The 25,020-nt window shown below is 45.9% G+C and overlaps 1 protein-coding gene and 1 long non-coding RNA gene across 2 annotated transcripts in view, besides 1 other annotated feature; both read right to left on the bottom strand.

Moving 5' to 3' along the window:
• The window catches only part of PRMT8 (protein arginine methyltransferase 8), a 212,625-nt gene that overhangs the window by 155,602 nt on the left and 32,003 nt on the right, over positions 1 to 25,020 (bottom strand). The window lies entirely within an intron of this gene.
• LOC105369607 (uncharacterized) lies at positions 5,330 to 19,290 on the bottom strand. The gene is made up of 3 exons (XR_931556.3): positions 18,480 to 19,290; positions 18,072 to 18,150; positions 5,330 to 6,090 (listed from the first exon to the last, which is right to left on the bottom strand). It is a non-coding gene; the product is annotated as an uncharacterized LOC105369607 (long non-coding RNA).
• Positions 16,532 to 17,167: an enhancer, noted in NCBI's record as "NANOG-H3K4me1 hESC enhancer chr12:3530371-3531006 (GRCh37/hg19 assembly coordinates)". NCBI's record gives its function as "activates a minimal SCP1, AML or CMV promoter by ChIP-STARR-seq in naive H9 embryonic stem cells {active_cell/tissue: H9 hESC(naive)}" and the evidence as "EXISTENCE:reporter gene assay evidence [ECO:0000049][PMID:30033119]".

Below are 25,020 nucleotides of genomic sequence, written 5' to 3'. Positions count from 1 at the left end.
AACTGCCAGTGGCTCTGGTCACTTCACACAGGTTGTGGCAGTGGCTGCAGCCCACCAGCCACATGGGCGACAGCAGGGTCCCTGAAACCGCGAATGACTAAACGGGAGACGGTCCTTGCAGGAGGACCTTGCATAAGACCCTCTCCACCAGAGCAGCCTCCCTCCACCTCTCTGAACACAATGCCCCCATCTAGGATAAGCCAGATGCCTCACAGGTGCGCTGGCAGCTCACAGAGCAGAAGCAGGAGGCTCTGAGGCTGCCCAGGACTTCCCCAGGCTCCCCACTCGGAGGTGGCTGTGCCTTTTTCTGCAGGAATCGTAGACTCAGGGCAAGCTGGATCTGCATTTCTCCAAGGACTTCCTCCTTGGGACCCCAGACCCCATAAGAGTCCTGTTCTTCAATTACAGCAGTGAGAATTCTGGCAAGATGAAGACTCCCAAACCCCAAGTTACTGCTCGAGCTAACTGGGCCCTCGCCGTGTGTCAGGCCCTGCGTTAGAAGCACACACTGTACATCACCTCATTCCATCACCGCATGTGACACCGTGAGCTGTCTGCTGCTCTCATTTTGCAGTTGAAGGCCTTGAGGCTAGACGACCTTAGAGAACATCCCTAAGGTCACACAGTCAGTGGTCAAGCTGGGATTCAGGCCCAGGTCTGCCTACACCAAAAGCCCCCGTGTTAGGTATACTACACTCCCAGAAAGAGTAGCTGAATGCAATATATATATATATATATATATATATATAGCCTGAATGCACACCAGAAAGGGAATGATTACATAAATTTTAAGATACCCACATGGACACAAAGAAGGGAACAGACACTGAGGCCTACTTGAGGGTAGAGGGTGGGAGGACGATGAGGATTCAAAAACTGCTTATCGAGCACTATGCTTTTTACCCGGGGGATAAAGTGATCTGTACACCAAACCCCTAGGACGCACAATGTACCTATATAACAAACCTGCACATGTACCCCTGAGCCTAAAATAAAAGTTTAAAATAAAATAAAATATATAAAACTAAATTGTACAATACCCATACTATGTAACTGTATGTAGCTATTATAAATAAATCAGCTAGATTTACTTGTATTAACCTAGAAACTTTCTATGTCATATGGTTGAGGGGGAAAAATGAAGTTGCAGAAGATATATATAAATATATATTTTTCTTTTATAAAAAGCCCTGTGTATGTGATAAGTTTCTAGAAGCATCAAAAACTTGTGGAAGCCTACAGTGCAAACTCAGTGTTGGATACCCCAGGAGGGTGGGGTTGAAGGGGTAAGGGGTGGCCTTCCAGCTGTCATTTGAATTGTCAGAACTGGAATATTTCATTTTCGTGACTTAAAAGGTAAAAGAGGACCCTTATTTTGTGTACTTTGGACACAGTAGAAGGTGAGTAAATGTTTGCCAAACTGAATCAAATTGAACCTACCAAACTCTCGCCATCCACTGGGACACCCCACCAGCTGGGCAGGCTGCCCAGAAGCAGGAATGCAGAGCCTGTGCTTGCCCTGCCACAGAGGCCACAGCATCAGTAGAGAGAAATCGCAGCCTTGCCTGCTGGATCCGCTTCTCCCATCACCCAGGCCTCCATGCTGTCGGGGAGATGCTGCAATCGATCCGCTGGAAATAACTTCACCTTGATGTTTAACCGACTCATGGCTTTTGCATTTCCAGGCAGCACAATCATATTAGCAGCCCCGTAACCCAATTATGGCCATGCACCCAGCTGAAACTTCTCAACGCAAAAGGGGACAGTGGAGCCCAGTCGGCCGCATTCCTGCCTCCTCTTAGAAAAATTACTGGTGGCATGAAATCTTTACTCTATTAATAGAGATCTTCTGCACGCTGACAATAGCAGCTCATAAAAAAAAAGAAAAAAGAAAGAAAGAAAGCAGCTACCTGGGTTCTGAGGGATAAAACCAGAATTTTATCACAGTAGCTCAGCCCCTGGCTTACCTGGGGCTGCTGGTGCTGAAAAGATGAGGAGCTTTTGCCTTTCAAAGGCATGAACTTGAAAGTCACTCACTGTGTCTGTGGTAACTGTATTAAGAGGTTTGAAAAGCAAGTGAGTGTCAAAAACGAAGGTGACGGAGCTATGCAACAGGAAAAACTAAATATTTCTCCAGGACTGACACGAACTTAGTGTGTGATTGGATCCTAACCATCCTCACAAGGTCACAAACGGGAGGGGACGACTTGACTTTTTTATAAGCAGGTAAGCAGGGCCTGAGGCACCCAATAACCTTCACTCAAAGTCACAGGGCAACCAGAGCCAAGCCTTTGCCCAACCTCACCACAGGTGTGAACTCTCCATCCTGAACACATACCATCTCCCCTTGCCCGCTAAAATCACCCCTCCTGAGGAGGAATAAATTGGACATCAAGCCTCAGTTTCCTTGCGGACACGGGGTGTCATCAGGGACCAATCCCTCGGTATCCTATAGATGAAATATATCAAGCTTAATTCGCCATCCTAGGACTAGGAAAGGACCCACAAGCCTGAGCGGTTCAGAGAAGGTGGGGTTCAAAACACACGACGTTGGCCGGGCGTGGTGGCTCGCGCCTGTAATCCCAGCACTCTGGGAGGCCGAGGCCGGTGGGTCATGAGGTCAGGAGATCGAGACCATCCTGGCTAAGATGGTGAAACCCTGTGTCTGCTAAAAATACAAAAATTAGCTGGGTGTGGTGGCAGGTGCCTGTAGTCCCAGCTACTCAGGAGGCTGAGGCAGGAGAATGGCATGAACCCGGGAGGCGGAGCTTGCAGTGAGCCAACACTGCGCCACTGCACTCCAGCCTGGGTGACAAAGGGAGACTCCCTCTCAAAAAAAAAAAAAGAAAAAAAAAGAAGAAAAAAAAAAACATGACGTTGTCATTTCTACAGCCATATGGCACTTGGCAGTTTTGAAAGCATTTCTGCAGGATGAACTGCATGAACCTCTTCCCCTTTCCCTTGAGAAGGAGGCAAGGTGGTCTAATTATCCCTGTCTGATATGCAGAGAGACTCAAACAGCTGGGAACAGGCAGAGCCAAGACTAGAAACCCTTCAACTCACCAGCTCAACGCCCTTTCTGCAGCGTGTAAAGAGCAAAGCAGGCTGGACCGGGTGGCTCATGCCTATAATCCCAGCACTTTGGGAGGCAGAGGTGGGCGGATCACCTGAGGTCAGGAGTTTGAGACCAGCCTGGCCAACATGGTGAAACCCCATCTCTACTAAAAATACAAAAATTAGCCGGGTGTGGTGGTGGGTGCCTGTAGTCCCAGATACTTGGGAGGCTCAGGCAGGAGAATCGCTTGAACCCAGGAGGTAGAGGTTGAAATGAGCCGAGATCGCGCCCCTGCACTCCAGCCTGAGAGACAGAGCAAGACTCCTTCTGAAAAAAAAAAAAAAAAAAGAGCAAAGCAAAGCAAACTTCACTGGGGACTCCTCTACCTCTGAGATCTTTGTCTGGCCTGAGAGTGAGGGCGTCTATGGAGCCACAAGCAGTCAAGCATTGTGTTGGGAACACTTCCTCCTGAGGCCCTTCGATCAATCTTGCCTTTTCATTGCAGCCTCATGTAAACTCTTGCACCCTGTGAGAGTCCCAGCTGGAATCTGAGTTTAAAAAAAAAAAAGATGGGGCTTCATTCATGTTCACCATCTCCCCTCCAACACACACCCACCAACCCCCAACACACACGGAACACCTGCCCTTGGCACCAGTGTTTGAAAACAGCCCTGTCATCAGCTCCATTTTCTGGGGGGCTCCTTCTGTAACTTCCTCTGTCAGCCATGTCCCATTGTGAGAGGGAAAAGACACTGATGAATCTGTAGGGGATCTGGACGCTGTGCCATTTTATGGTGTGTGTTTAAATAGCTCTTGCTCCCTAATTTCATGTTGCTTAGGGTTATGTTAAAATTAGTATGTTCAGGAAATAGCAATGAGGAAAGGTGGCCCAGAAACCTTTTTTAGATAGCAAGGAGAACGGTGGCCTGCTTTTAGTTTTGTGCATGTGGATAGACTACAAAGTGAATGGGAATTGACAAAATCTGCATTTTCCTACTATCTTTTCTTGCTTGTGCCTAGTAGCCCTCAGAAAAACGAGCTCAATGCAGGGGTTTCTCTGGAGCACCTCAGCTTCAGCCTTCTCCTGTCTGGGCTACCTTACCCCGGATTTCTCAACAGTCCCTAAAGGGTTTTAATGGTGGTGCTTTCTTGTTAATGACTAGACCTCGAGTTCACAAAGCTCATCATCCTCTCCAGGTCACAACAAATAATTTCATTGTTGTGTCCAAGGCTCTTCACGTTCCTTTTCATTCTCCCTTCCTGCTCCCGCCTATGGGGACCCACTCAAATGTTTTTTCACTGAAGAACATCTAACAGTTTTTTTGTGAATGTCTGTGCTCGTATAAGAGTAATGTTGGGCTATGCATCTCACTTTTTCATGCAACATGAAATCTTTTAAAAATCTTGTCACTAGGCTGGGCATGGTGGCTCACGCCTGTAATCCCAGCACTTCGGGAGGCTGAGGCAGGTGGATCACCTGAGTTCGAGACCAGCCTGGCCAACACGGCAAAACCCCATCTCTACTAAAAATACAAAAATTAGCTGGGCATGGCGGCATGCACCTGTAGCCCCAGCTAGTCGGGAGAATGAGGCAGGAGAATTGCTTGAACCCGGGAGGCCGAGGTTGCAGTGAGCCGAGATCGCGCCACTGCACTCCAGCCTGGGTGACAGAGCGAGACTTCATCTAAAAAAAAAAAAATCTTGTCACTAAATCTAGTTCATGGTTTCTAACTTCCACTATGTCCACCCCACTGTATCCCACTCTGCCACTTACCAGCTGTGTGATCTTGAGCAAATTACGTAACTGCTCAGTGCCTCAGATTCCTGATATATAAAATGAGACAGTAGGAGTATCTACACTGCAGGGTGGTTACGAGGATTAAATGAATTTTGAATGTATGTATCTGAAGAGCATTGAGAAATCCTTTGCACATAAGTGCTCAAAAAAGAAAAACCCTAGCTGACATTGTTATCATTACTTCTCCATTCCCCTGGTGAAGGGTATGTCTGTCAAAGCTCTCTGCTACTGCAAACAATACTGCAATGGGCATCCTCTTATAATCGTCCAAAGGATATGAATTCACAGGAGGCTAACTAATGCATGAAGGGATGCTAACCTCACTATTGATCAAAGACACACAACACAAAACAAGAGGCCACTTTCCATCCATCAGATGAGCAGCCAGTGGGAAGTAAGCTACCACCAAGCATTGGAGAGGATGTGGGGAGTGGGATCTCTGAAGACTGCCGCTGGGACTGCTGTAAATTGCACATCCTGGAGAGCAGTATGGCATTTCCTGTGAAGCCATTTACATACTCTGTAAATCAGCAATCCCACTGCTAGGTCTGTGTCCCAGAGAAATCTATGGACGATTATAAGAGAATGGCCATTTCTTCTGGGAATAGGACGATCCCTTTCACCTGTTGATTCAATGTTCCTGCTCTATTTTTAATCCATTTCCACACTTTCACCACCTCATTTCATGTGTTGAGTCCCAAGTGACTGCATTGCTTTTTTCAAAACAAAACAAAACAAAAACCAACAAAACGAAGACCACAAAAAAAGAATTTTTTCTTGGAGCTAGAGAACAATTTGGGTCACATGACCGGGCCATAAAGATGAGCACCTAGAATGGAAGGCCAGGCAGGCACCGAGACCTGCAGCCTCTTGCCCAGAGAGCCTTTCTCACCTCTCCTGTTGCTGCTTTCCAGCCCCATCGGCCTCCTGAGCTGTCTCCTCCCTCCAGCCCTTCCTGCCTGGGCTGGGCAGATTTCCCTCTCGGGAGTCTCAGGTACTGCCCACTGCCTTGGGATCACATGCTTTGCATGTCATCTCCTCTGCATTCTGACCCTGCTTTTGTCTTTCCCCGGTGGAATTCCCTGAACCATTATTTCAAAGTGTTTCCATTCTGCCCAAACAAGAGAGTTAAGTTCCTTGAGCGTGTGTCTTACTCTGCAGTCAGCCAATGCTCCGAATGGCAGAATCACAGTCCTGGGTTCACCTCCACAGGCTGAAGTGCAAGGTGACTTGCTTCCTGCAAAATGGAAAGTGAAACCAAAAAAAGCCCTATCTCCATCTTGCAGTGAGGCCTGCTGTGGGCAGCCCTGTCAGATTGTGGCCTTCTCCCTGCCATCACCATCATCTCAGCCACACCAGGCCTCTGCCCAAACCCCCTCTGATCTGGGTCTTCCACTTCAACTCGGGCCTTCTCTGAGAAGGGATCCCACGTCTCCTCGCAACCCCTTCTAGGGGGACTTGGGGGCACTTGCCCCACAGGCTGAGAAAGAAGCTTCAGCATTCTTTAAACTCTGCAGTCTATTCCAAACTCCTCTGTCTTTAAGCAAAAATTCCTGCTCCTTTAATGCCCTCACTGCCTGCCGAAAGCATTCTCTACCCCTCCTTGCTGCTGCCAGCGAGGTTCCTCCCAGTAGGTAAATATGCTCAAGCCTCAGCCAGCTCCCTGCGATGCCACACCATATCTCACCTTCTCTTTCAAGACAAGCTTCTTGGAAGACTACACTATACATTTCTCCATTTGCTCACCCCCTATTCAGTTCACAACCCTTGGCTCAGACTCTCTGAGGAAACAGTTCTGGCCAATGTCTCTAGAAGGGAGCTTCTCCTTTGATATGTAACATTTTTCAGCCCTTACCTTGCTTGACTGCAGCCTTTGACACTACGTACCTCTCCTTCTTGGAATCCCATCTTTCCTTGATCTCTGGGATGCCATTCCCTTGTGGTTTTTCATCCTCTCCAGGTCCCTCCCCTCCACCAACTCTGAAACATGCATGTCCCCAGGTCTCACACTTGGCTCTTCCCCCTCTGACTCCTTGATCCTGACCTCCCACGCTCCTCATCACAGTGAACATCATCTGCCATGCCTATCTGGAGGCCTCTGCCTTCTGGAAGTCATTCTGCATCTTTGTTCTGCCTTCGGCCCCACATTGAAATAGTCCCCAAGTGCTAGTAACTGCAGTTTGGTGCCCTCTCTGCTACTGATCTCTCTCTCTCTCTCTGTGCCCACTCTCACTGCTTTGGATCAGGCCCCCACCCTGGTCAAGTCAAACCACTGCTGTAACTTTCTCACTGGTCTCAGTCTTGCCTCCTCCCAGCCCATTCTCTGAAATGCAAAAGGGTATTTCTAGAACAAAAATCTATGTCACTCCTCTGTCTAAGGGCTAGCCATTGCCTTCAAAACCAAATCTAAATTCCTTAGCATGACACACAAGGCCCTGCAGGATATGGATATTCCTTGTCTCTAAAGCCTCAAATGTCTAACTCCTGGCTAACTCCTCTCATCTCTCCAGAGTCGAACAGCCTCACCTCCAGCACACCTGCCTGGCACTGCCCCAGCTTCTGGCTTGAAACTCTTCCCAAGTGCTCCAAGAGGTCCCCCAGGCTCACTGATCTCTACTCCTGCTGATGCTGTATTAGATTGTCCCCCACTAGGCTATAAACTCCCTGTCTTTAGCTTCTGTGTTTCCAGCAACTATCATAGTGCCTGGGCCTTAGCAGTTGCTCCAGAAATGTTGGATGGATGAATGAATGGACGAGTAAATGAATGAATGAATGTTCTACTCTGTGGGTCAACCCTGCCTCAAGTATATTATAGTATGAATAATTCTTGCTGCCAAACTAGAAAGGTTGAGAAAATATGAGTACAATTAAGTGATGTGAAACTACGTCACTTGACAATTTTAAAATGGGTAGGGAGTAAGGTAAGGGAAAGAGACTTAAGGTTTATTTGGTAGCTACTTATGGTTTCCTGGTAGGCATTTTTTTAAATGTTATCTTAGTTAATCACCATAAGAATACTCTGAAATCAATATTGTCTTCATTTTACAGATTTGGAAACAAGATATGAAACAATCAACTTGGTTGTAAGGGAGGAGACCACCCCTCATATTGTCTTATGCCCAATTTCTGCTTCCAAAGAAAGAAGAAGTAAAAACTAAAGGCAGAAATGGAATCCACAGGCAGATAGCCCAGCACTGTGCCCTGGGCCTGGTAGTTAAAAATCAACCCCTGACCTAACTGCTTGTGTTATCTATAGATTGCAGACATTGTATGGAAAAGCATCGTGAAAATCCCTTCCTGTTCTGTTCAGTTCTGATTACTGGTGCATGCAGCCCCCAGTCACATATCCCCACTTGCTCAATCAATTACGACCCTTTCATACTGACCCTCTTAGAATTGTAAGCCCTTAAAAGGGACAGGAACTGCTCACTCAGAGAGCTCAGTTTTTGGAGACATGAGTCTGCCGGTGCTCCCAGCTGAATAAAGCCCTTTCCTTCTACAACTTGGTGTCTGAGGGGTTCTTGTCTGTGGCTCATCCTGCTACATTTCTTGGTTCCCTGACCTGGAAGCAAGGTGATTAACAGACAGTTGAGGCAGCCCCTTAGGCAGCTTAGGCCTGCCCTGTGGAGCATCCCTGTGGGGGACTCTGACCAGCCTGAGTGATGCGGATCCAAAGAGCACTCCTGGGTAGGCAATTGCCCCGGTGGACCACCTTACCAGAGCAGCACATGGGAGGCCCCCACGGAAGATCAACACAGTGGCTGAACACCGGGAAGGAACTGGCACTTGGGAGTCCAGACATCTGAAACTTGGTAAGACTGGTCTTTGGAACTTGTGCACTCCATTTGAGTGGAAGCGTGGCCTGATCACCCATGACATGCCTGTACTGTCACTTTGGTTTTTGTTTGTGACTTGACTTGGATTGCTTGATACTTTGGTTTTGGTTTTGACCTGGCTTGGATTTCTTGATACTCTGATGGTTTTGGTTCAGATTTGGTATAAACTGTAAAAGTGTGTGTGTGCCCTTTTTACCTGTTCTTTGTTTTGTGGTGTGCGTGTGGTGTTAGCATGGTGTTTTGTCTCAAGGAAGCATGGGTCAGGCACAAAGTAGGCCCACCCCACTAGAAACTATGTTGAAAAATTTCAAGAAAGGATTTAAGGGAGATTACGGTGTTACCATGACACCAGGAAAACTTAGTAACTTTGTGTGAAATAGGCTGGCCAGCATTAGAGGTGGGTTGGCCATCAGAAGGAAGCCTGAACAGGTCCCTTGTTTCAAAGGTATGGCACAAGGTAACCTGTAAGCCAGGGCACCCAGACCAGTTCCTGTACATAGACACTTGGTTACAGCTGGTTTTAGACATCCCCCTCCGCCCCACCCACAGTGGTTGAGAGAACAGCAGCATAAGCAGCTGACAGAGGCAAGGAAAGACCAGCAGAGACAGAGGAAGAGACATAGAGACAAAGATGGGGTCAAGGAAAGAGAGATAGAGAGAGAGAGAGTCAGAGAGAGAGGAAGAGACAGAGAGACAAAGATGGAGTCAAGGAAAGAGATAGAGAGAGGCGGAGAGAGGAAGAGACAGAGAGACAAAGATGGAGTCAAGGAAAGAGAGATAGAGAGAGACAGGCGGAGAGAGTAAGAGACAGAGAGACAAAGAGAGAGTCAAGGTAAGAGAGATAGAGAGAGGCAGAGAGAGAGGAAGAGACAGAGAGACAAAGACAGAGTCAAGGTAAGAGAGAGAGAGAGAAAGAGAGAGGCAGAGAGAGAGGAAGAGACAGAGGCAAAAGGAAAGTCAAAGAGAGAGAGACAGAAAGTCAAAGAGAGAAAGAAATACAGAAAGAGAGAAATATACAAGTAGTTAAGAAAAAAAAAAAGTGTACCCTATTCCTTTAAAAGCCAGGGTAAATTTAAAACGTATAATTGATCATTGAAGGTCTTCTCCGTGACCCTATAACACTCCAATACCACCTTGTTGTCAGTGTAAACAAGGGCATAGCCTGAAAGCACTGAGGCCGTTGACAACCTGTAGCCTTCCTATCAAAAATCCTTAACCCAGTGACCCGCAGCTGGCCCCAGTACATTCAGTCTGTAGAAGCAACTGCTACACTAACGGAAGAAAGTAGAAAAATAACTTTTAGAGGAAACATCATTGTCAGCACAGCTCACCAGTTCAGAAGTATCTTAAGGGGAAAAAAAAAGCGGGGACAAAAGGTAGCTTACTAACTTAAAAATCTTCAAGTATAGGGCTATTGTGTTAAAAAAAAAAAAGAAAGAAAGAAAAAGATGATTTAATAACATTAGCCACTGAAAATTCCCTTAACCCAGCAGGTTTCCCAGCAGGAGATCTAAATCTTAATTACCATACAAAGGTCCGACCAGACCTATGAGGAACTCCCTTCAGGACAGGATGATAGATGGTTCCTCCAGGGTAATTGAAGGGAAAAATTAAAAAGCCATCTATACCAATTCTAAGTTAATTTGGACTAAACAAGATCTTATTAACAGCAAAGGATAATTGAAATCTCAAACTTACAAAGTTTTCAACAAAAGTAAAATTTGCTAAAAGTTAACAATGTAACATGTATTATAGTAACTTCTAATCTTGTGGCTTTGGACAGTCTAGTCCACAGACATAAAGGAAGTTCACTTTGGAAAAGAATGATTATCTTCGAAAAAAGGGAAAAAAAGAGGGGGAGCAGAATTTATGTAAAAAAAAGTTATATGGTAAATTCTTGTCCTGAAATAAATTAACTAGTTGTTTAAAATATGTATATTTGTAATAAGTCAGAAAATTGAGGCATGTCAAAAAATTGTCTGCAAAAGTTGTGAAAAAAAGTTATAAAAAAAGAATTTATGCAAGAAATGTTATATAATTTAAAAGTAATTAGGCCTCCCGAATGTAAAACTATTGAAAAAAAAAACAGTTTATGTGCAAGGTGTGTAAGGAAAGTAAAATATACCTCTGGTAAAAGAATTACAAGACGGCATAAGAATGTGAATTTTTACCTACATTAAATGGTTAAAAAATTTTGTTTTGAAGGTTTAAGCAAGTTTTAAAACGTTAATTATAAAGAAAATTCTGTGTGTAAACATATTGACTAAAGTTAAAGGGGTATCATCCAGTTTTTCTGTGAACTGAACTTTAAAATAAAAACACAATGGGTTTTTCTTAAGGCACTAACCTGCTCTTTAACAAAAATTATAAAAGGTTAAAAAGAGTCTATAAAAATTTTACCTTATGGTCAAACATTAAAAATTAAATAAATATGTCTACAAGGTTTTATTAAAACTAAGTTTAACATTAATAACACACTAATATAAAAGTGAAATTCAGCTTATCTGGTATAAAAATCATACAGAAAACATTGTCAAATATAAAATGGTGTTTGGCTTTCTTTGGTCTAAAAAACTAATAAAAATAGGTGCTAAAGGAAATTTGTCAGAAGACACCAAGGACTATAAAGTCCACTGCTGATGTCCCCACATTTAAAACAAAAGGTCAATTTCTTAAAAATTATATACTTGGTTTAGCACATGCACCACCCCTAGAATTTCTGGTAATCCAGCACCAGCCTGACGATCACGTTCTCATCAAAGGGTGGAAAGAAGGAAAACTCGAGCCAGCCTGGGAAGGACCCTACCTTGTGCTGCTAACCACCGAGACTGCTGTTCATACAGCAGAAAGGGGATAGACTCACCACAACCGAGTCAAGAAAGCGCCACCCCCTCTAGAGTTGTAGGGCATAGTCTCAGGGGAAAACCCTACCAAATTAAAGCTAAGAAAAATTTAACTCTCTTTCATCTATTCTATGATTGTTTCTTCTTTCCTCACTCTATTGCTGACCATCTAGTTATTAACATAACCAAGTCAATTTCGCCTCAAACTATTGCATTTAATGCTTGCCTTGTTATATCCTGTGGGGACTTGCCAAGTCAAAGACAGCTCTCTACTTCAGAAAAGTACCTCTATCCCTCCTGACTCTCCTCAGACTGGGCATTAGTAAATTAGGACCATTTAATCCAGGGAGATTTCAATAAAGACCTCGATATCAACCAGTAGTCTTGCCCCCAGATGTAGAGCTTTTATGCCATAGTTGGTCCAACGTTCTGTGGACCACTAAAGAGCAAGGATGGACTGCCCCCACCATTTTTTGTAGTTTCCTAAAATCATACATTCATTTTACTAGAGGATCATAGAAGTTAAAGACTTAAAACAAACTTTGGCAGTTAAGACAGGATACCAAGATGCAAATGCCAGGTTGGAATGGATCAAATACTCTGTCCACACATTAAGCAAAAGCAATTGTTATACTTGTGCGCACAGCAGGCCAGAGGCCCACATTGTCCCCTTTCCACTAGGGTGGTCCTCCAGTCACCCAGGCATGGGCTGCATGGTAGCTCTTTTCCAAGATTCTACAGCCTAGGGTAACAAGTCTTGCCAAGCTCTCTCTCTGCTATATCCCGAAATCCTGCACCCTGCGGGTCAGCCCCCGAGGGCCATCCAGCTTCCGTCTCCCAACATTAAGTTCACTTCATGTCTCTCACAACAGGGAGGAAACTTAACGTTCCTTGGAGACCTGAAGGGATGCAGTGAGCTTAAGAATTTTCAAGAGCTTATCAATCAGTCAGCCCTTGTTCATCCCTGAGCGGATGTGTGGTAGGCCTTTACTGGGCACTCTGCCGAATAATTGGAGTGGCACTTGTTCTTTAGTCCAATTGGCTATCCCTTTCACCCTGGCATTTCATCAACCAGAGGGAGAAAAACAAGACACTGTAAAGCGAGAGAAGCTCGCCTTTCGACACTCACATCTATTTAGATGCAGCTGGAGTCCCATGGGAAATACCTGATCAATTAAAGCCCAAAATCAAATAGCTGCAGAATTTAAGTCAATATTTTGGTAGGTGACAGTTAATAAAATGTAAACTAAATAAACTACATCTATTACAACCAACAGCAATGAGCTTTTCATGAGTTAAAAGACAAATTCATGTCAGCCCCAGCCCTGGGGCTACCTGACCTGACAAAACCTTTTACACTATCTGTGTCAAAGAGAAAATTTTAAAAAATGGCAGTTAGAGTTTTAATCCAGACTGTGGGGCCCTGGCCGAGGCCAGTGGCCTACCTCTCTAAACAACTAGACGGGGTTTCTAAGGGTTGGCCCCCATGTTTGAGGGCCTTGCCAGCAATAGCCCTGCTAGCACAAGAAGCGGATAAGCTAACTCTTGGGCAAAACCTAAACATAAAGACCCCCCATGCTGTGGTGACTTTAATAAATACCAAAGGACATCAATGGCTAACAAGTACTAGACTAACTAGATACCAAAGCTTGCTATGTGAAAATTCCCACATAACCATCGAAGTTTGCAATACTCTGAACCCTGCCACCTTGCTCCCGGTATCAGAGAGCCCAGTTGAACATAACTGTGTAGAGGTGTTGGACCCAGCTTATTCTAGCAGGCCCAACCTCCAAGACCATCCTTGAACATCAGTAAACTGGGAGCAGCAAGTGGACAGGAGCAGCTTCGCCAACCCTTGCAAAGTGACTCTGAGGAAGATGATGAGCCCTGCTCCAGTCACACCCGGAAGCTGACTGGTCCACGCATGGCCAAAGCATGAGGAAACTCATCGCGGGACTCATTTTCCTTAAAATTTGGACTTGTACAGTAAGGACTTCAACTGATCTAGGACTGTTCCCAGTATATACATCAAGTCACTGAGGCAGGACAAAAGGTTGCTACAGTGCTATTATTTTATGGTTATTATAAGTGAACAAGGACCCTAAAAGGAAATTATTTCTTTAATGCTATACAAGGTATGTAGCCCAGGAAACAACTGGCCAGTGTGTGTTATGACCCCTCTGAGCCTCCCATGTCCACAGCTTTTAAAATAAGATCAAGGACTGAAGACTGGTAGGGACTCGTAAATGATACAAGTAAAGTATTAGCTAGAACAGAAGAAAAAGGGGTCCCCAAATGCATAATCTTGAAATTTGATGCCTGTGCTATCATTAATAGCAGTAAGTTAGGAAGGGGATATGGCTCTTTTAATTGGAAAAAAGGCTATATGACCGAAAATAAGTACATTTGTCACGAATTAGGACTCTGTAAAAATGAATGTGGATGCTGGTCTTGCGTCATTTGCGCCACTTGGATAAAAAATGAAAAGGATCCAGTCCACCTTCAGAAAGGAACAAGTAGCCCTTCCTGTACTAAGGGACAATGTAACCCCTTAGAGCTAGTAATAACCAATCCCCTTAATCCTCGCTGGAAAAAAGGGGAGCGTGTGACCTTAGGAATCGATGGGGCCAGACTGGATCCTCGAGTAAATATCTTAGTTTGAGGAGAAGTTTACAAACACTCTCCTGAGCCAGTGTTTCAAACTTTCTATGATGAACTAAATGTGCCAGTACCAGAAATTCCAGGAAAAATAAGAAATTTGTTTTGCAATTAGCCAAGCATGTAGCCCAGTCTCTCAATGTCACTTCATGTTATGTATGTGGAGAACCTGTAATGGGAAATCAATGGCCATGGGAAGCCTGAGAATTAGTACCTACAGACCCAGTTCCTGACGAATTCCCGGCTCAAAAAAATCACCCTAATAATTTCTGGGTCCTGAAAGCCTCAATTATTGGACAATATTGCATAGCTAGAGAAGGAAAAGAATTCACTCACCCCATAGGATGACTTAGTTGTCTGGGACAGAAACCGTATAATGGTACCACAAAAACAGTCACTTGGTGGAGTTCAAATCACACAGAAAGGAATCCATTTGGTAAATTCCCAAAGTTACAAACCGTGTGGACCCACCCAGAGTCCCACTGGGACTGGATGGCCCCCACTGGATTATACTGGATATGTGGGCATAGAGCTTACACCAAATTACCTGACCAGTGGGCAGGTGGTTGTGTTATTGGCACTATTAAACCATCTTTCTTCCTACTGCCCATAAAGACAGGTGAACTCCTGGGCCTTCCTGTCTATGCTTCTCACGGAAAGAAAAGCACAGCTATAGGAAATTGGAAAGATGAAAAATGGCCCTCTGAGAAAATCATACAATATTATGGGCCTGCTACTTGAGCACAAGATGGCTCATGGGGATACCAGACCCCCATTTACATGCTCAACCAAATCATACGGTTACAAGCTGTCTTAGAAATAATCACTAATAAAACCGGCAGAGCCTTGACCATTCTGGCCCGGCAAGAAACTCAAATGAGAAATGCTATCTATCAAAATAAATTGGCTCTCAACTACTTGCAGCTGAAGGAGGGGTCTGTGGGAATTTTAACCTTACTAATTGCTGTCTACACATAGATGATCCAGGGCAAGTAGTTGAAGACATAGTTAGAGATATGACAAAATTGGCACATGTGCCTGTGCAAGTGTGGCATGGATTTGATCCTGGGGCCATGTTTGAAAAATGGTTCCCAGCGCTAGGAGGATTTAAAACTCTTGTAATAGAAGTTATAATAGTAATAAGAACTGCTTACTGCTCCCTTGTTTGCTACCTGTACTTCTTCAAATAACAAAAAGCTTCATCGCTACCTTAGTTCACCAAAATGCTTCAGCACAAGTGTACTATATGAATCACTATTGATCTGTCTTGCAAGAAGACGTGGGTAGTGATAAAAGTGAAAACTCCCACTAATAAGTGAGGTTCTCAAAGGGAGAGAATAAGGGAGGAGACCACCCCTCATACTGTCTTATGCCAAATTTCTGCCTCCAAAGAAAGAAGTAAAAACTAAAAGGCAGAAATGGAATCCACAGGCAGATAGCCCAGCACTGCGCCCTGGGCCTGGGAGTTAAAAATCAACCCCTGACCTAACTGCTTGTGTTATCTATAGATTTCAGACATTGTATGGAAAAGCTTTGTGAAAATCCCTCTTCTGTTCTGTTCTGTTCTGTTCCGTCCTGATTACTGGTGCATGCAGCCCCCAGTCATATATCTCCACTTGCTCAATCAATCACAACCCTTTCACGCGGACCCCCTTAGAGTTGTAAGCCCTTAAAAGGGACAGGAATTGCTCACTCGGGGAGCTCGGTTTTTGGATATGTGAGTCTGCCAACACTCCCAGCTGAATAAAGCCCTTTCCTTCTACAACTTGGTGTCTGAAGGGTTCTTGTCTGCAGCTTGTGCTGCTACAGCTGAGGCTACACAAATTAAATTTGAGGCAAAGCCAAAATTTAAGCACAGATCCCTGCCTGATTCCAAAACCCATGCTTGTCCTCCTACATGATACCAAAGTTCTGTCCAGGTAACCACGAAGGTTGGCAGGTGGAGCTGACACCTCAGAGGCTGGTGGGAAATAACAAGCACCAAAGAAAAGCTACAATTAGAAATGCACTTGGGGATCATTTTACAGGTGAGAAAACTGAGGCCCAAAGAGCTGAAGGGAATGCAGGCTGCTGGACTGCTCCATAACTCAGGTGGACATGTACCCCTTCCAGTGTCCCAGATCAGAGCCTTTTCCCTATGGCCCCACCCCACCCACTGCCCCCTGGAACCAGAAGCCTCCATGTAGGCTGGCCCCTGGGAGTGCACTGAGGAGGGGGGCCATGCTGCCCAGAGCTGGAGCCCACCCCAGTAGCAGGCCAGCAGCGCAGTGGTGAGTTTCCCTGCAGCAGCAGAGAGAGACCTTGCAAACTACCTCAGCAGCCTCAGCCTCCATCCCGTTGCTCATGGCTCTGAGTTCTTTGTGAGGTTAATGGTTCTGCTTTTGCATAAGTCAGCCTGACAACCTGCTCTTTCAAACACTAAAACAAAACCAAAATGCTGCGATTAAATGTGGTGTCATCAAAGTGCCTGTTTCCCAGAGATGGCAGTCAACCGGGAGGGGAGCCAGGGTGAGGACTCAACAGCAAGTCCTATTTGTCCCCAGGGACACATATCAGGCTCTTGTGTCTCAAAGTTTTCCAAAGTGGCCAAAACAACAGCATTTGGGTAATGGGATATGAAAACCGTGTCTTTTATATGTGGCCCAGACCATTTCACGTGACAGATGGCTGGAGCCCAGTCTCCCACCGGTCCTGGCACCAGCTCCTGAGGACCCAGGATCTAAGCAAACAGATATAAGCCCCTGGATCCACCACCCCACCCCCCGGCAGGATGGTGATGGCTGGAGAGCAAGGGAATCTGCTTCTGCTGCTCTGCCAAGTGAAGCCCAGACCTTAGCGTGGAATGTGCCTAACCCAGAGGAAGCCGAGGCTGGAGCATGGCTTGCAGGAGTGTCCTTCTGTCCCACCAGATAAAAATGACTTGGGAGGCTGCCAAAGCCAGATTTGAGACCCGACAGGCACGGCACAGAAATAAATGTCTGCTCCTCGATGCTAACGATCTATGGGAATGGACATGTGCCTTTCCTCATTTTAAAAAAACAATTATGTTTTTAAGCTAAATTTAAGACATGGAGGAGGAGGAGTGGGAGGGCTCTCTATTGGTAAGAAAGTCTTATATTTTCCTTGTCCTTTCCAAAGCATAGTCACAATATCGTCTCCTCCCAGTGGAATGCCTGATATTTGATGTGATTTTTGACTCAGGTTCCAGCTCGACTGAAAACATGCAGTAGATGCTGTGCTCCCCGTCCCAGGGCTTCACCCTTCCCCACGGAACTGCACTCCAGATTCACTGAAGCAGCCCCAGCTCCACATTTTGCTTCTCCCTCACTGCCCTGTGAGTAGGTGAGTATTTGAGTCAAGACTCGATTTCATCTATCCACAGAAACGGACTCTGGTCAGCTAAAGAGCACAGATGGAACTTACTGGGAGGAAATCAGGCTGTTCTAGACATGACTAGAAAGCATGGAAGAAAGCAAGCAAGCTCATGCTGCAGCAAGAGACTGAGCTGGACACCGTGGTGACCGCCTCCACCGTCATTGTCACTGCCACCCTCCCAACCCACTGCCTCTACTGGAATGATTCTCAGTGGGGCCTGCACCTTTGTATTACCCTTAAGTTGCAAAGACCTAGACATGAACACCTAACTCTCTCACTGCTGGGAGGCTGTCACAGCGTCTGGCTTTTTCAGCTTCTCAGTGGGAAACAGTCCACTCCCACCATGGAGGCTCATACAAAGGGGGTCCCCAATATGGAAGGGGGTTCATAGGCTGTGCAACCAAAACAGACAAACAAAAAGACATCTGCACAGCAGGTCAGCTATTATCCCCATTTCACAGATGAGGAAACTGAGGCCCATGGCTTCATTACATTAAGTGACTCACTCAGTATCACACAGCCAGTAAGAAATGTCCCACTTGTTATGGGTCGCTGTGCTTTGGTCACCAAATCAGGATGAGCTGTCTGGAGAGAGAGAGAGAGAGTTTTGAGTCTGCCGCCTTGCATTGATGGACAACACCCACCTCTGAGGCTCGTGCCAATGCTCTTGAGTTGAGAACATCCCATATGAGGTGGGTTCCTCCATGTTGGCCACTGGTTCAGTACAGCCAGGCTCAGCCCTTCTCTCTCTCTCTCTCTCTCTCTCTCTCTGTCTGTCTCTCTCTCTCTCTTTCCCCTCTCTCCCCCTCTCCCCTCTCCCCCTCTCCCCCTCTCCCTCTTTCTCCCCCTCAAACCACCCCCCCATTCCTGTGATCTTTCTTGGCTCCCTCTGGCTCCATCACCAACATACTCACAGCATGATGAGGTCAGGGAACTGAGCATCCTTCTGGCTGGGGTGCTGTGTGAGGCCATGCCCTGGACAAGCCAGGAGAAAGGATGCGAGCCTTGTGATGAGGTGTCTGGGCTTCATTTAACTCGAGGCCATTGAGAGCCCTGGAAGGGTTTTCAGCAGGAGAGTGATCTGATTAGGTATTTGGAAGTACAATGGATAGGAGGGAATAAAGAGTGGAGGTGAAGAGGCTAATTAGTAGGCTCTGTGGTAGACAGAGAGTGGTAGCGGGGATGGAGAATAGTGAGCAAATCAAATACTAAACAGAAGGAATTCAAGGTCTTGGTGATTGCTTAGGCAAGGGGTGGGTGGCGAGGGGGCAAAGGGGAGAAGTCAAGCCGCTTGGGAAGCTGGGAGCTCAGCAGTGTCATCTTCCAAGAGAGACAGCCCAGGTAGATGAGCAGGTAAAAGAAAGCATGCAGCTTCAGGGTTCGAGGGCTCAGAAGGTAGGTCTGGAAGCAGATAGGTCAGATACAGCTTTCTCCTTGGTCAATAGATCACTCCCCTTCCCTGCTCTCTGTTCCTCCAGCTGAAGGCTGTAGCCAGTCTGCTTCCGCCTTCCTCACTGGGTATTGCAAAGCAAGCTATCTAAGCAAGGCGGAAGCCCCTGGCAGGTAGCAGCACAAAGCCAAGACACCGAGGCTCTCCCGTCAGCTCAGCTGTAAACCAGCTTTGTGACCTTGAGCAAATCCTCCTCCCTGGGTCTTGGTTTTCTGGCCGTCACTACCATTCCAGGGTTTTATGGACGAATATTTGAGGAGGTGAAGTGCTATGTAAATGTTTACTGCTAATAACAAACCATCCACAAAACGTCTGTGTATCGCCTGGGCAACCCAACGGCTTTAAAAATCTTAAGTGCCTCTTGTTCCTCTGATTCATCACATTCTATACATTTAACTTCCAGAACAAATTTAGCCCTCAAAATATCTTGGTACATTTTCTACCCACCCTTTAACATTTAAATCCTCCATCTTCCATGCCACTTCACCATTTCTGCACACCTGTTCCCCAACACACCCTCATCCTTTTCCTCTTCAAGCAGCCAGCCCAGCCCCACCCACCCTTCCTCCAGAGGAGGCAAAAGCCACCGAAGACACTGCTTTCCTGGGTCTGCTCCAGCCATGACCTGAAAGAGAAACTGGCAGAGCATCTCAGGTGGGGAGGGGAAGTTAGGACCCAGTAAAGTGGGGTGAGGTAGCTAGAGTCAAAGTTGACAACTAGAGTAATCCCCGCCTCCACACACGGAGTGGGCCTGAAGCCACAAAATGGGGGAAGATTGCAGCAGGATGCCCCTTGCAGCATCAGTATCAAGCCTTTCTGATGATTGGCTAGAGCACTGGCATCAGCAGCCATGGGCTGGACCAGCTTGGAGGATAGGACCAGCCCATCCTGTCACCCATGTGGAGCAGAAGCTCATCAAAGAATGACAAGAACCAAGATTGGCACTGTCCTGCCAGAGCATTTGCCTTAGCCACACTCAGGCCATGCCCCCTTTTCTTTTTCAGCAAAAAAACCGCCTCTAAAACACCTTGCAATTCCAAGTTCTTAAACACGGGACTTAGAATAAGCTGTGAAGGTTGCTAAGGAAAGGGCTGAAGAGGCTTTCAAGGTGTTTGCAGTTGAGAAATGGAGAACTCAGAAATGTCTGCTTCCCCTGGCAACCTCAGCCTCGAACTCTTCTGCACTTGGCTGGGGCCTAGATGGGAAAATCTTTCAGAACAGCAGGTGCTGCCATCCTGAAAGCTAGAAAGAATGATAGAGAATGTTTATTGAGTACTTGCTATGTAACAGGAGCTGTTCTAAGTATCTTGCATGCATGAACTCATTTAATCCTCACAACCTGTGAAGTAGGTATGACCATTTTTCTTCATTTTACCAGTGGGGAAATGCAAGTACAAAGAGGTTAAATAGCTGGCCCCAAGTTCCCCAACTGGTAAGGAGCAGAGCCGGGATATGAAACCAGGCAGGTGGCTTCAAATCAGGCCTCTCTGAAGATAGAGCACATTCAAGGTCACTCTCAAGGCAAAACAAGTTGAGTGCATGGGATTTTTGTCTCTTCTTCATCTCTTCTCTTCCCAGGTGCCATTCAAAGTCCCTTCAATAATGGGAAAAATAATCCCATAAACCTCACTGGAGTGAAGTACGAGTGACAATATGGAATGAAGACCTGATGGTGAAGTTTCAGGAGCTGAGTTCCTGAGTACAGGTCATATTTTAAGCTGGGGTCAAATTACCAACCCTCTTTAAATTATATTACACTGCTTCAGTGATACATAAAGCTCCTCCTGCCCTACCCAGCTCCTCTTTCTCACCCTCCCCAAACATTTATATCACCAACATGAGATGCTTTGGATGCCTTTTAAAAGCTACTTCCAAAACCCACGGTGTCCTCATTCTTTTGTGAATAACATGAGAGCTGGACGCTCCTCTGCATTCTCAATAATTCCTTGAATTAATTCATGTTGCATGGCTCCCTTTTCCACAAATTAATTCCTATGAGCCCAGCCTCTGAGAATCTGCCAAAATCCCCCAGCCAGGGAAGGCAAGATTTGTTCTCTCTCCCCACCCCTGTGTTGCTGTCTGAAATCTGATCACAACAGCAGCTAATTCTAATATGATAGACTCCAAATCCTTTCCCCCAAATAAACCTCTGTGTGGCAACAAGAGACTCCAAAATTTACGAACTCCACATTTCTCATTCAAACATCCTTGGTTTATAAATCTCCTTGGCTTCCCCATTCTATTACACGCCTCTGCTCAGGCACTTAATGGAAGTCATCAAAAACCTGAAAAACTCTGGCTTCAGATCAGTATAATAGTTCCCTTAATAAGGTTCCCTCTGCTAAACAGGAAGTTGCCCCTCTTTCCAAACCCAAGCACATTGGCTTATCATTATTTGCCACCAAAAATCTCACATACTGTTTGTTCTCTGCCCAAACTCATATTTCTGTTCTTTGTTCTCAAGGCCAGCCTGCCCCACATCTGAGAAAATGTACTTAAGCCTGCAGCAGCGCAATCTCCATCCAGGCAGTTTCTAATCTCTCCAGACCTGGGTTTCCACTACAGTGCTTCCTCCTGACATTGTCTTTCCTCAACAGCACAACTTGTTTTTCTCCTTCTAATATCTGCTCTCTCCTGACTCAGGGTCCTAAGTCTTTCTGAAACTGACATCAGAATCAAGGGAGGAAAAGCAGTCAGCAGAAAGCCTTTAACAGGCTCCTGTAAAGAGCTCTGTGCTGCCCACTACTCTTCAAAATCCTCTGTCAGCTCCTTCTGGATGTGCCCCAGCCTCTCACACATTTCTTTCCAACAGCCCACCAGTGACTCCACAAGTGTTTACTTAGTGCCTGCCTCATACAAGACATTTTCCTCCATGTCTGGGAGCACGCCACCAAATGGAGAATTGATTCCTGCCTTCCAGACCTTAGCATCTCTGCAAGAAGACTGACACCAGCCAAAGAAAAATGCAAAGCCTGGAGGATCCTCTCCACATGAGACACTTGGGCTCCACTAGCTGAAGATGGTGAGGATTAGAATTACACCTTGAGGGGTAGGTAGATTTCAGGTAGGAGAGAGGGAGTGGAAAAAAATCTCTTGATAGGGGATGATGTCAGCAAAGACACAAACCTATTTAGGGGCAGTAAGGTCATAACTCAGCATGAAGCCACCAGAACAGAGTTGTAGGGGGTTACAGGAGTTAGAGGAGAGGCCCGTGGAGCGAGGAGACCTAGGCAGGCCGAGGAGGCTTTTGAGTGCTATGCTAGAAAGGCGTCATAGACACTGCCATCCCTGTTGAAGCTCATCTCTCACCAGCCAAATGGAGGACCTCCCACCAACAGCCATGTCTCTGGCAATTCCTCTACCTGAGAAGGTCCGGCTAGATCAAGTGATCCTGCACAGGCAGCCCTAGTTTGTCCCTGTCCTGCGGGGAGAGCCCTGTGATTACCCCAGCTCACATTTACTCCACAAGCTCCTCCGGAAAGAGCACTGGCCTGGGAATCAGGAGACCTGGCTCCTGACCCAGCACTGTCACTAACTCGATGGCAAGCCATGTGGCCTCCTGAGCCTGCGTGTCTGCATGCATACAACGACAGTGAGGGGTTTGGAGAAGATGTACTGATTCCTTTCCAGCTCTTGGATGTTATTTTGCAATCATCTCTCTGTAGCCCCACCTTCCTTCCTCCACTGTTCTATGGGTCTCATGGGAGATCTAATTTTTCAGTTTCTGGTATATTGTGATAGTGTGAAATATTTATTTGGTCTTCATCCAGTTTCCTGACATGCAATTCCTAAAATCCTGGAAATCTCCAAAGTGATGTATTTTTGTATGCTAATGATTGACTGGTGGCTGGCAGCCCCTAGGTAGCTTCAGGATGGGGCTGGTCACTCAAACCAAGACAGGATTAGAGGGTTCGGACTTTCAGCCCCACCTCATGACTCTAGGGAAGGGAGAGGGGCTGAAGGTTAAGTTGATCACCAATGGCCAATGATCTAGTTAATCATGCCTATGTATTGAAGTCTCCATAAAAATTCAACAGGACTGGGTTCGGGGGGCTTCCAGAAAGCTTAACAAGTGGAGGCACCTGGAGAGTGGCACCCAGGAAAGGCGTGGAAGCTCCATGTCCCTTCCCCATGCCTCGCCCCATGCATCTCTTCATCTGTACCCTTTGTGATAGCCCTTACAATACACTGGCAAATGTAAGTGTTTCCCTGAGTTCTGTGAGCCACTCCAGCCAATTAATCAGACCTAAGGAGGAGGCTGAGGAAACCCCAATGTATAGCCGGTGGGTCAGAAGCACAGGTAAACCAACCTGGGGCTTGGGTTTGGCATTGGAAATGGGGGCTGGCTAAACCCCACCCTTAAGCCTGGAACTTTGGCCCTAAGTGAAACAGCTGACCTGGTTTTTCTGCCCAAATGTTGCTGTTTTGGCCTGCCATGCCCAAATCCTGTGCTCATAAAAAGACTGCAGCTGGTAGAGCAACACAAGCGACTGAGCAGTGGGGATACAAGAGGCTGAGCAGCAAGCAGAGATACAACTGAGCATCAGAGACTGTGGAGAGACTCACCTAACTTCGGATGGTGCAGCTTCAGGAAAAGATCACCTTCTTCCCACACCATCCCCTTTCCAACTCCCCATCCCACCAAGAGCCTCTTCTATCGCCCAATATCATCCTCTGCATACACTGCCCTTCAATCTATTTGTGTGACCTGATTCTTTCTGGATGCCGGACAAGAACCCAGATATTGAGGGAGCAGGGGCTTGGAGGCTGCTGCGGGGCCTCAACAGAGCCTGCTCCAGCCAGAGAGAAGCAACTGACCAGTCCCATCATTCCATTCACTCCGGTTCCCACACTCGCTTGCAGGCTCCTTCTCAAGAAAAGTAGCCATTGACAGGCTGAGTGAAACAAGCCACTCCAGTTCCCACCACTAAGAGTGTCAAGGTCAAGGGAATCTCAGATAGTGTCGGAATTGAAATGAACTGGAGGACACCAGCAGGTGTCCCTTCTGGAGGATGGCTTGCTTGTCGATGGGGAGAAACACCCAGACATCTGGAGTCAGAAGTGCGGTGAGACTTTTGGGGAGTGCAGCAGGAAGAATCCAGGTTTGTTATTCCCATATTATCACCTTTTTCTCCAGCTTTCTTGCCTTTTCTGCCTTTCCTGATTGACTACTATTACCTGGCAGTCATCTTTTACAAAATTAGCATTTTTAAAATACAAAATATCCATATTTATTATAGAAAATTTAGAAAATACAAGAAGCACAGAGACAATGAGTAACTCACCTATATTCCAATCATTCAAGAGAACCACTACTAACAATTTGACCTATGTCTTTTTGGTCTTTCGATACATAAATCAGTCATCCCTCTGTATCTATGGGGGATTTGGTCCCAGGACACCTGTGAATACCAAAATCTGTCGTTGTTCAAGTCCCTTATATAAAATGGTGTTGTATTTGCATATAACCTATACACATCTTCCCGTATACTTTAAATCATCTCTAGATTATAGTATATAATGTAATGTAAATTTTATGTAAATAGTTGTTATACTGTATTTTTAATTTGCATTATTTTTTATTGGTTTTTTTTCCCCCGAATACAGTCATGTACCACATGACACTTTGGTCAACGACACACCGCATATGGAATGGTAGTCCCACAAGACTACAATGGAACTGAATAATTTCTATCTCCTAGTGACATTTAGCCATTGTAACATTGTGGCACAATGCATTACTCATGGGTTTGTGGTAGTCCTGGAGAAGGCATTGTTATCATAGGAGATAACAGCTCGTTGCCTGTTATTGCCCCTGAAGACCTTCCAGTGGGACAAGATGAGGAAGTGGAAGATAGTGATATCGATGCTCCTGACCCTGTGTAGGCCTAGGATACTATGCGTGTTTGCATCTGTATTCATTTGTTCTCACACTGCTAATAAAGACATACCCAGGACTGGGTAATTTATCAAAGAAAAAGGTTTAATTGACTCACAGTTCCACA

This window comes from Homo sapiens, chromosome 12 (genome assembly GCF_000001405.40).
Source record: "Homo sapiens chromosome 12, GRCh38.p14 Primary Assembly".
Classification (NCBI taxonomy): Eukaryota; Metazoa; Chordata; class Mammalia; order Primates; family Hominidae; genus Homo; species Homo sapiens.
This window is presented reverse-complemented; position numbering and strand designations above follow the sequence as displayed.